The sequence below is a fragment of the Homo sapiens genome, chromosome 11 (genome assembly GCF_000001405.40).
Source record: "Homo sapiens chromosome 11, GRCh38.p14 Primary Assembly".
Taxonomy (NCBI): domain Eukaryota; kingdom Metazoa; phylum Chordata; class Mammalia; order Primates; family Hominidae; genus Homo; species Homo sapiens.
This window is the reverse complement of record NC_000011.10, coordinates 12,979,063-12,991,056: the sequence shown is the minus strand read 5'-3', so window position 1 is coordinate 12,991,056 and position 11,994 is coordinate 12,979,063. Positions and strand designations below refer to the sequence as shown.

The 11,994-nt window shown below is 43.6% G+C and overlaps 1 long non-coding RNA gene across 1 annotated transcript; it reads left to right on the top strand.

Annotated features, from left to right (window-relative positions):
* The first annotated feature begins 1,508 nt into the window (after positions 1 to 1,508).
* Positions 1,509 to 11,523, top strand: LINC00958 (long intergenic non-protein coding RNA 958). Its single transcript, NR_038904.1, has 2 exons — positions 1,509 to 1,601; positions 10,058 to 11,523. It is a non-coding gene; the product is annotated as a long intergenic non-protein coding RNA 958 (long non-coding RNA).
* The last annotated feature ends 471 nt before the right edge of the window (positions 11,524 to 11,994 follow it).

The following is an 11,994-nucleotide window of genomic DNA, read 5'->3' as shown; positions in this document are numbered from 1 at the left end:
TGCAGCGGTGCAATCTCGGCTCACTGCAACCGCCGCTTCCCGGGTTCAAGCGATTCTCCTGCCTCAGCCTCCTGAGTAGCTGGAACTACAGGTACACACCACCACACCCGGCTAATTTTTATATTTTTAGTAGAGACAGGGTTTCACGATGTTGGCCAGGCTAGTCTTGAACTCCTGACCTCAAGTGATCCACACCCGCCCCCCCCCGGTTTGGCCCCCCACAGTGCTGGGATTACAGGCGTGAGCCACCACACCCCGTCGCCTAACTCTATTTCTAAAAGCTCTGCCAGTTGGAGATTTCTCTAGCCCACTAGAGTTTCTGGCTTTGGGGGACAGGGAGGGAAGGGAGGGGAAGCTGTGTTATAAGAAGAAAGTTTAAAAAGTAAGCATAAATTATTTGAGCTTTTAAGAGACATTAACAAGCTACCATACTGAGGGTATTAAGAACACTAAAATTTGTTTGGCTTTGGATAGGGAAGCTACTGAAATTGAAGAAGAAAAGATGGGACTGAATGAGCACTCCTTGGGTTGGAGAAAAACCAACATGATCATTATCTAATCATCATCATAATAATGATAATGGACATTTGTATAGCACTTGGCAGTTTACAAGTTACTTTCTTATAATAATAATTACCACTATATGGTACATTACAGTAACAAATACTTTTTAGGGCTTTACCCCGTTCCACTGTAAAAGTTGGTATTAGTGGAGGATGTAAATAGACTTATCTACATGATTAAGGAACTAGGAGGAGTGGAGGTTCAACACCAGCAGTTGGACAGCAAACATCTTAGAAGACCAGGCACATCTTCAGCCACACCCTTGGGTTCAACTTGGTGGTCTCCTGGTTGGGGTCAGGAGCAGAAGTGGGGCCATGGCCTCCACTTCCCTTCCTGGGCAATGTGCCTTTCTTTCATCACCATGGAGTCCTTGCCTTTGTTTTGTTTCTCCTTGTCATTTATTTCCATTAACATGCAGTGGTTTTTGTCCTTTCTCTTCCCGATTGTCACTTTCCTCACCTAGATAGAGAAGAACCAGCCCTCACCTAGCTCACTAGTCTGTATCAGGCTCAAATGAGGTGATGTATGTAAAAAGGTTTTGAGACGTTAAAAAGCACAGTCCAGAAATACCTGAAAGCATGTAAACTCTTACGATTTGGGGGCTTAGCAGGACCAGGAATTTGATCTCATTGCCTCCAGGTCATATCATGACCCTCTAGGATCCCTCCTCCCTGTCACACATCCCTCTATGGGCACATTGATTCCAGGATTTCCAGAGTACATCAGGGCTGAGCCGACCTCATGGCCCTCGTGGATTGTCTCTGATATGGTTTGGCTCTGCGTCCCTACCCAAATGTTATCTTGAATTATAATCCCCACATGTTAGGGAGGGACCTGGTGGGAGGTGACTCAATCGTGGTGCGGTTTGCCCCATGCTGTTCTCGTGATGATGAGTGAGTTCTCACGAGATCTGACGGCTTAAAAGTGTGGCACTTCCTACCTCACTCTCTCTCTCTCTCCTGCTGCATTGTGAAGAAACTGCTTGCTTCCCTCTCACCCTCTGCAGTTTCCTGAGGCCTCCCCAGCCATGCGGAACGGTGAGTTAATTAAACCTCCTTTCTTTATAAACTACTCCGTCTCGGGTAGTTCTTTTTTTTTTTTTTTTTTTTTGGAGACGGAGTCTCATCTGTTTCCCAGGCTGGAGTGCAATGGCGTGATCCCGGCTCAGTGCAACCGCCGCCTCCCGAGTTCAAGTGATTCTCCTGCCTCAGCCTCCCGAGTAGCTGGGATTACAGGCGCCCGACACTATGCCCAGCTAATTTTTGTATTTTTAGTAGAGATGGGATTTCACCAGGTTGGCCAGGCTCGTCTCCAACTCCTGATCTCAGCTGGTCCACCCGCCTCGGCCTCCCAAAGTACTGAGATTACAGGCGTGAGCCAACATGCCTGGCCCTCAGGTAGTCCTTTATAGCAGTGTGAAAACGGACTAATACAGTCTCCCTGGTTTCTCACAGTTTTCTTCCATTTCATTGCTCTGTCCTTGTCTCACCTGAGTTGGGTATTTCCTCAGAGAATATTAAATATTTTTGCTGTCAATCTAGAATTGTAATTAGATAAGTTGGCAGCCAAAAGAAAAGAAACTTCATGAATTATAAAGCCCGATATTAAATGAATTTTTTGAACATTTGGTAAAGTTTATACCTTGTCTGGCTTCTTTGTTCCTTTCTCAAAACAATGATTTTCTCTTTCAAATATCTTATTCTCCGTTAAATTTTCATTTACAACCAGAATGTGGCTTTTTTCCCTAGTCTGAGAGTCCTGACATCATCTTAACTAGGGAGTTTGTGGTTATTTGTAGCCAGGGACTAATGAGCAACAACAACAAAATGTCAGAAATACTTAGAGGATGAAACAGATTATTAAATTCTATTTTGTTACTAGCATGTCCATAAATTAATCTACCACCAATTTTAGCCATACATTGAAAGTCAGTAACCTTGTGAAATCCATGTAACTCAGTTTTCCAGAGAAAAAGATAATGTTTACTAAATCAATCACTGTTTGTTTGTTTGTTTGTTTATTTTAGGCCAGATGCAGTGCCTCATGCCTGTAATCCCAGCACTTTGGGAGGCTGAGGGAGGATTGCTTGAGGTAAGGAGTTCGAGACCAGCCTGGGCAATACAGTGAAACCTCATCTCTATAAAAACTTTTTTAAAATTAGCCAGGTGTGATGGTGCACACCTGTGGTCCCAGCTACATGGGAGGCTGAGCCAAGAGGATCTCTTGAGGCCAGGAGGTTGAGGCTGTAGTGAACTATGTTCATACCACTGCACTCTAGCCTGGGTAACAGAGTGACACCATCTCAAAAGAAAAATTTTGATGAGAATTATTGGAATAAATCTGTTAGTTATGATACATATGGAGAGAGAGGGGGAGAGAGATAATTGATTATTGGATTCTCTTTGTTTTAGAATTTTATTTATTTATTGACAGAGTCTCACTTTGTCACCCAGGCTGGAGTGCAGTAGTGCGATCTTGGCTCACTGCAACCTCCATCTCCTGGGTGCAAGCGATTCTCCTGCCTCAGCATCACAAGAGCTGAGATTACAGGCGCACACCACCACGCCCGGCTAATTTTTTGTATTTTTAGTAGAGACGGGGTTTCACTATGTTGGCCAGGCTGGTCTTGAACTCCTGATCTCTAGTGATCTACCCACCTCAGTCTCCCAAAGTGCTGGGATTACAAGTGTGAACCACTGTGCCCGACCAGTTTTAGAATTTTAAATGTAGTTATAAATAAAATGGGTTCTTGCCTAATTTTGATACCAAGTTAATTCCTTTTTAACAGAAATATTTTTTAATATAGTGTACTTGTACTTTCTAGCCTACAAACAAATTTTATTTGAAATTTTTAAAAAGCAATTTAATACTAATACTTATTGGGCACTTGTCAACCATTAACCACAGTACTAGGCACTTTGCACCCATCATCTAATTTAATCCCCACAACCCTGTGAAATAGACTTTTTTTTTGAGACGAAGTCTCGCTCCTGTCACCCAGTCTGGAGTGCAATGGCGTGATCTCGGCTCACTGCAACCTCCACCTCCCGAGTTCAAGCAATTCTCCTGCCTCAGCGTCTTGAGTAGCTGAGATTACAGGCACCTGCCGCCATGCCCAGCTAATTTTTGTATTTTTAGTAGAGACGGGGTTTCACCATGTTGGCCAGGCTGGTCTCGAACTCCTGACCTCAGGCGATCCACCTGCCTTGGCCTCTCAAAGTGCTGGGATTACAGGCGTGAGCCACCGTGCCCAGACAAAGTAGACATTTTTAATCAGGTTGATTGAACATTAGGATACATTTTCTACCAATAATAGCAACCATTTCTTGAGAGCTAACTGTGTGCTCGACACTCTTCCAGGCACTTGAATTTTCACTTAATCTTCACCATAACCCTGAAAGTGAGGCTTTATTCTCCCCAGTTTCCAGATGAGGACCCTAGGGTTTAAGATGGTTAAGTGAATCATCCAAGGGCATAGAACGAGTGAGTGGCAAAGCTAAGCTAGCCTTGGTCTTCTGCTTCCAAGTACAGAGGATCCATGCAACCCCCAGATCAGTACCAGCCCACTGAGTTTATCCACTCAGTCATCAGTCTGCAGCCCAGGAGCTAAAATAATTCATCCCAGTCATTTCAAATTTTAAAGTTCTTAATGGAGGAATTACAGTCACGTGTGCCTTAATGACAGGGATATGTTCTGAGAAATGCTTCATTAGGCAACTTCATCATTGTTGTGCAAACATCATATAGTGTACTTACACAAACCTAGATGGTATAGCCTACTACACACCTAGACCATATGGTATAGCCTATTGCTGCTAGGCTGCAAAGCTGTACTGCATGTTACTGTATTGAATACTGCAGGTAGGGTAGATGTAACACAATGGTAAGTATTTGTGTATCTAAACATACAAAAACATCATAGAAAAAATGGTATTATAATCTTATGGGACCACTGTTGAATATGTGGTCTGTCGTTGACTGAAACATCGTTATATGGTGACTTGACTGTATTTACAAAGCAGGGTAAAGGGAGCAAACACCAACAGACTACCGTATACGAATCCAGTAAAGAAACAGAAACAGAAACCAACTAACATATGAACAGAATCTAACAGAATGCATTGATTCGTCAGGGACACCGACTTAACATCACATGGTAGAAGACCTCTACGACAGCTCCCAATAATCTCTGCCTCCTGGCAGTCATGCCATCATATAATCCTCTTGTGCATGGAGTAGAATATAACAAAAGTGATGGGGTGTCAATTCTGAGATTAGATTGCAAATGAATCTGGCTTCCATCTTCCTCACCCTCTGTTTCTCTCTCACTTGCTTGCTATGATGGCAGCCTGCTTCCATATCGTAAACTGCCTTGGAACCAATTACCACTACCAGGGAGACAAACTATTGCTTAGAGGATGCTGACAGGAGCAGCATGCCAAAATTGGAAGAAGTAAGTCTCTTCCTCTTCCTCCCATCTACCTTTCCTTTAGTGCGCCTATTCACAGAACCAGCTGGTAAAGGAGTGATGTGATTATAGAGTCCCAGCCCCAGCATCAAAACACAGAGCATAGAAGGATGGGCTTGCAGCTGAGAAATCATAACTGACCATCTGGTCCAGTCCACCCCTTTGGCCCCTCATTACTCATATACACCCTTCTATACACACTTGAACTTCCATACAACAATATGGTTTTACGTCTCTGCCTAATAACATGCAACTAGCCTTTGTACAAATGTACTCTTACCTCTCCCAGAGAAAAAAAGACAAAAAGACACAAAATCCCAAAAGTAATTGTGTTCATTTCCAGATGACAGTCACAGTATCTGTCTCTGGGTGACATGAATATCAGTCTCGCCTGATCATTTAGTTACAGTCCCATCTGAACGTTCTGTGATCTAGAGGCTAAATTTTAATTTTGTATAAGATGTTTGTATCAGTAGTATTTACCTTAGTGAAAAATAAGAAACAAATCAAGTATGAGGCAATGAAAAACAGGACATTGGCTCATACAGACCTGGTTTAGATCAAATAGCTCCACAGATAGTAAACTTGAGTGTGCGTCTTCAATATTGTAAACCTCAGCTCTTGAATGTGCAAATTGGAGTCACAATTCCTATCCCACAGATAAATTAAAGAGTGTTCTGCTGAATGATAGTATGCCTGTGAAGTACTTAAGAAAGTCCTCAGTCAATGGTAGCTTTTGCTGGCTAGTAAAATTGCTGGTCAAAGGATGTCAAAGGAGCTTCCCAGGTAAGGGGATTCTTGAGCCCCTTAGCAGTTGTGGAAATGAAGAAAGCACTTTTAACACAGTTGATCATTCCCATCTTCCTCCGTACTTTCTTCATTTGGCTTTTGGTGTTTCACTCTACTAAAGACTATATGTTAAAGTTAAGTTAACCACCACCAATACGTAAATAAATTATAAATCATAAGGAGGAAGAAATAGAGAGAAGACATGAGTATGTGTGTAATAATACATGTGTAAATAACACGTAAGGAAAAAACCATGCATAGTTTTTAACAGTCCTTGTTTCTTTAACTGATCACCAGCAAAGTTGATATTTATAACTTCTTTCCTCCACTACTCTTTCCACATTTCCTTCCTTTGTCCTCTGCCAGGACATCAGCTGATGTGGGTTCTTTACCTGGCAGAATGATCATTGCTTTCACTTCTAAAGGGTTGGGGTCTTTCAGGTTCTGCCTATTTTTCCATTAAGTATTACTATTGGACCTGGAGGTACTAATAGGCATCCCTAAGCATCCCCTGGGTTCCAGACAGTCCTCCATGCCCTCCTTGTATGGCAGCAATCCAATTTCTCCTTGGTAATCAAAACTAACCACCCCAGCAGGTAGAATAACTTCCTTCTTTGCCTTTTAATTTAGTGGCCTGAGGAGCCCATAATGTTTCAATTGAATGGGTTGTGTCCCCTGGTGGAAGCATTCTTCCTTTGGGTACTCAGACCACCAAGACATCAGAACAAAGTTCTATAAGTATGTTATTACGTCAATAAGTGAGAGGAGCCATTTCTGCTTTTACCCCTTGATACTTTGACCTCTGTATTTTGTCTATGGGTACAACAGTAACATATATCGTATGCTGATTCAAAGTATATACTGCATCCTGTAAAACAGCACCCTAAATTTTCACAGTGTTGTCTCTCAGCTGGTGCCACGAATAGGTCTTCAGCAGGCTGTTCCATTCCACCATTCTGTCTGGCCCACTGCTTCTTACAAGATTAAGATAGCAGATCCCATGGGTGTAGGTAAGACCCATTGCCTCACTTATTTTGCTATGAAACATATTCCTTGATCAGAAGTAGTGTGGAGAAAACCATGACAGTCAATAATGTATTTTGCAATTTCATGGAACTGAGACAATAGCCTAGTATAGGGCATAATTTGCATCATCTGGAAGGCATTAGCACCCCTAGGCATGAAAGGACAAGGGGAAGAAAGATTGTTTCTGGGCCAAGTAAGAGCTAGAGACTCAGAGGAGGTACCTCCCTCCTACCCACCCTGGCAGGAGCTATGGCCACCAGGGACACAACTATCGCCTGAAACATGGTGCGGAAGTAGAGAGGAATCAGGAAAGAAGAAATACTTCAGTCTCCTTCTCCTGCTGCCCTTTGATCTCTAGCCAGTGCCTCCCTTTGTCTGAACCCAAAGGGAACCAGAGGGCAAAAAAGCTGTGGTGATGCTTCAGAGGGGCCAGGCTCCCAGAGCACAGAGTAGAGCAAAGGAAGGCAGGGAGTGGACATGGGTGGGGGTGGGGACCACCCTGCGAAAGAATTATTCGGGCAAATGAGATCTGGGCGGACTTTCTGGTAACTTTGAAGTCCTAAGTAGAAAACTGAAGGGGTTAGGGTTTCAATTAATATGCTCATTTCTTCTCTGTTGGAAAGTGGACTGGAGCCGGGAGTGAATGGCTGGCTGCATAGTTACTGTGGAAACCAAAGATCTGAAGGGGCCCTGTCACCCTTTGGACAAACACCGGCAGACTGGCGTGCATGTCTCCCAGGGACCAGGGACATTACTGCGAGTGATGTGCCAATCTGCAGTAGGGTGATCACATTCTAGGGATAAAACTAAATTTAAAAAATATTTACATTGGCAACTTGTCATTTTGGAAAGGGCTCAAGATCCAGAGTCAGAAACCTCTGTAATAAATGAGGAGCCTTCTGTTTCCAAGATGGAGAAGGGATGGGGAGAACGGTAATACCCACTTTGCAGGAATGGCAGAGGGATGACATGAACATACTCTGACATGAAGCTAGTGCTCAAGAATTGGTGGTTGTTAGTAATAAAACTGCATTTCAAGCAAGATTGAGAAGAAAGACATCCAGAGAAAATAGAAAAATGATGATATGAAACAACACTAAGGTTCTAAAGGGCTATGTTCCTGTCTTCTTTATCTTGGCAACCCTGGCACCGAGCCTAGGCCCTAACAAGGAGCAACCACTCACAGCTGATGAACGAAAATGACACAAAAACAATTCCAATGGGGATGAGGCCCCAAGGTCTGAAGCAGATGACCACATGTGGGATGGAGTTAACAAACAAGCTAAACTTGGAGTTTTAATTTAAGGATGCAAATACAATCTCATTCACATCTTTGGGATCTGAAGGAATGGGATTGAAGCTTAATATTGTTAGAGAAGCCTGAGATTGTGCAAAGAAAAACAGTTCATGAAAGACATGGACATAGAGGCCCTATATTTGAAGGTCTAAACACTTCTGAATCTAAGAGTAAGTACCCAGGTGGAGAGTAATGTAAGATAAGAGCATTACAGGACTGTATAGGAGTACCCCTGGGGCTACTGGCCCAGGGAGTCTGTGAACTGTTATCAACATAATAATTGCTAACATTTATTAAATGCTCACTACATGCCAAGTGCTTAAGGTAAATCACCTTTTTAGGTTCAACGTCAACCCTGTCAGGTCAATCCTATCATTCAGATTTTACAGATGTGGAAATCAGGGCTCAGAGAGGTTAAATAACTTACCTATGGTCAGCCAGCAAATAAGTGGTGGAACCAAAATTTAAGCCTGGGTCTTATGAATTTTGAGTGATGATCCTGGCCTCCTGGTATTCACACTGTGTGGTCTCCTACCCCATTGTTTGTTGGACCAATCGAATATGGTAAAAGTGACGACATGGCACTTCCAAATCTAGGTCCTGAAAGACATGGTGGTTCCTGCCTCTCTCTCTTGGGTCACTCTCTCTGGGGAAGATGACTGCCCTGTCATGAGAAAAGTCCCAATTGGTAGGGAACTGAGGCTTCCAGTCAACAGCCAAGCAAGGAACTGAGGTCTCTTGCTAAGCCACATTAGTGAGCTTGGAAGTGGATCCTCTAGTACCAGTCAAGCCTTTGGATGACTGCAGTTCCTGCTGTTATTCCACTTACAACCTCATGGGATACTGTAAGCCAGAACCACCAGCTAAACCACTCCCAGATTCCTGACTACAGAAACTGTGAGCTAATAAATGTTTGTTGTTTTAAGCCACTAAATTTGTATGCAATTCATTATGTTGAAATAGATAAGCAATACAATATTACAATAGCAACACAATCAGAAGCCTAATGTGTTTCTCAAAGTTCCAAAGTTTCTAATCTGGGCCTTGAAGGTTGAATGGAAGCTCACCTAGAAAGAAGAGCAAAGGACATAGCATGTGCAACAACTGGAGACTGCACTTCAGCATTTGAGATCCTTTAAATAGAATGCTTCAGCTGTGAGAAGAGTATGTGCAGGAAGCAGAAAGAAACGAGTAGATAGGTGTTGCTTATGTCATGTTAAGATGTTTGGACCCTGTACTGTAGGTAATAAGGAGCTGCTGACCAACATAATAATAAGCCAAGACAGTGAGGAGGATAGACTTTAAAAAAAACACATATAAAAGCACAGAGATGAATGCTTGTTAGGAGGCTGATGGCACTAGTGGGAGATGTTGAAAGTGTGGGCAGGGATGGGGGGAGCAGAGAGGAGGGGGACAATACATGGAATTGAATGGGCAGAAATACAGTGAGTTCAACACAGAGAGGAGGCCAGGCACAGTGGCTCAGGCCTGTAGTTCCAGCGCTTTGGGAGGCCGAGATGGGAGGATTGCTTGAGCCCAGGAGTTTGAAACCAGCTTAGGCAACATAGTGAGACCCCGTCTTTACAAAAAAAATAATAATAATAAATAGAAGAAATTAGCTGAGTGTGGTGGCACACACCTGTAGTCCCAGCTACTTGGGAGGCTGAGGCAGGAGGATCACTTCAGCCCAGGAAGTTGAGGCTGCAGTGAGCTGTGACAGAGCCAATGCACAACACCTGGGTGACAGAGACCCTGTCTCAAAACAAAACAAGCAAAACAAAACACAGGGTGGGTGGGGAGGAGACATGTGAGAGAGAGAACAGAGACAGAGACAGGGACAGACAGAGGTATGGCATAGATGGAGAGAAGTCCTTCACAAGGGACACTGATTTGTTGGTATTTTTATTTTCAAGCTGTAGACCAAGACCTGGAATTAACACATCAGAAGATTCTATGAGGAAACCCATTTAAAAATAGGATGCATTTTTTTCTTTTCTGCACAGGGAGAAAGTTTAAGCTCTCCTCACTATGAGTTTTCAAGTATAAAAGACTTTTTCTTCCACGATTTTGAGAACAACTGAGGACTCTTGTGACCAGGACAACAGGGAAGCTTGCAGCAAGATAGCTCCAGGTTGGATTCATGCTTCGCACCCCAAGGGCTGCCAGCCAGAGAGGAGGAGAAGCAATCACTCCTGCAGTTTCTGAACACTACACAGACGCCAGGTAGCTTCTTCAGGAGAACAGCCCTCTGAGGAGGCAGGAAGAGGAGGCTTATCTTTCAGCAGCCGGAGCTGCTGAGATCTCTGGGCAGATTAAGCTCTCTCTAATGGATGGGCTCCAGCCTGGCACATTCAGTGGAGAGGGATCCACTCATCCATCATCAACATAATATGGTCCTCCCTGCACTTCACAGTGTCCTCTTGCTATTGAAAAGGCTTTTTTGCCTTCTCAAGTTTCTTTGTCAACAGTCTACAGGAAGAAGCTCAGGCCGCCACCGGCAGAGGTGAATGCAAGCTCACGTTTTATTTCTGACTGCTTAATCATTGCCTCGATCACTGCTCAAGCTCTGCCTTTGTTTCCAAAGGTTACCTGTGGGAAAACTTCTTTTTCTATGCTGAAATTAATAGGGAGGCAAAGATGAGTCCACTGATAAGCAGAGCCTTAAAACTCACATAGAGAAACAACTTTGCTGGAGTGTGTGTGAGTGAACCACTAAGGAATCAGATAGTGTGATGGCAGTTATCATTGCAGGTTAAGACATTTCTACAAATATTTCGACATCTCCATATACTCACTCCTTTCCCCCCTGAGTGGAGAGACTCAGCTACCAAGAGAGGAAGCTCAAAAAAAACAGAAGCTTCAAACAAACAACCAACCAAAAAAAAAAAAAAACTGTGGGTTCATCAGAGGTGGTAGGGAAGACAAAAACATGGGAGGAGCAGCTGGGCACGGTGGCTCAAGCCTGTAATCCCAGCACTTTGCGAGGCTGAGGTGGGTGGATCACCTGAGGTCAGGAGTTCGAGACCAGCCTGGCCAACATGGTGAAACCCCATCTCTACTAAAAATACAAAAAATTAGCCGGGCGTTGTGGTACGCACCTGTAATCCCAGCTACTCCGGAGGCTGAGGCAGCAGAATCGCTTGAACCCAGGAGGCAGAGGTTGCAACGAGCCAAGATCGCACCATTGCACTCCAGCCTGGGCAACAAGAGCGAAACTCCATCTAAAAAAAACAAACAAGCAAACAAACAAAAAACACGGGAGGAGCAATAAAAAGGAATCCATGCTTTGATTTTTTTTTTTAGTGAGAGGAAGGGAAGGCTGCTGCCTCTCACTTCTCCCTGTTTTGTTGTTCTTTTAAGTAGCATGTGTCACTCTGTATATATCCTGTCCATGTGTTTTCTTTTATTATTATTTGTCCACTTGCCTAGAATGAAAACTCCATGGGAGCATGGCTATAGTGTCTTGTTCACTCCTGCCTCTCCAGGGCCTGAAACAGAAGTAGGTAGACAGAGCCTGAAACAAAAGTAGGCAGTCCATAAACTTTGCTGAAGGAATGAGTGAATGAATGAAGACCCCAAGGATGGACCTCAGGAAGGTGAGCCTGGGCAAAGGTTTTCAGTCCTAGTCCATCATGACCACATAGCTGGAATACACTTATTTCACTTTGTCACATGAATTAGAGATTCATTTGGGGAAACAAGCAACTGTTAGAGTTGCAGACATCTCTGAGGGGTAAATGGCTGTTCAAATCTTGCATCTTACCCTGATCCTCACTCTATCTGCTTTCCAAAAACATGGAGCTAAGATCCCAGCACTGAGAAGATGGGCATTCCTAGCAGGGGGCATTTA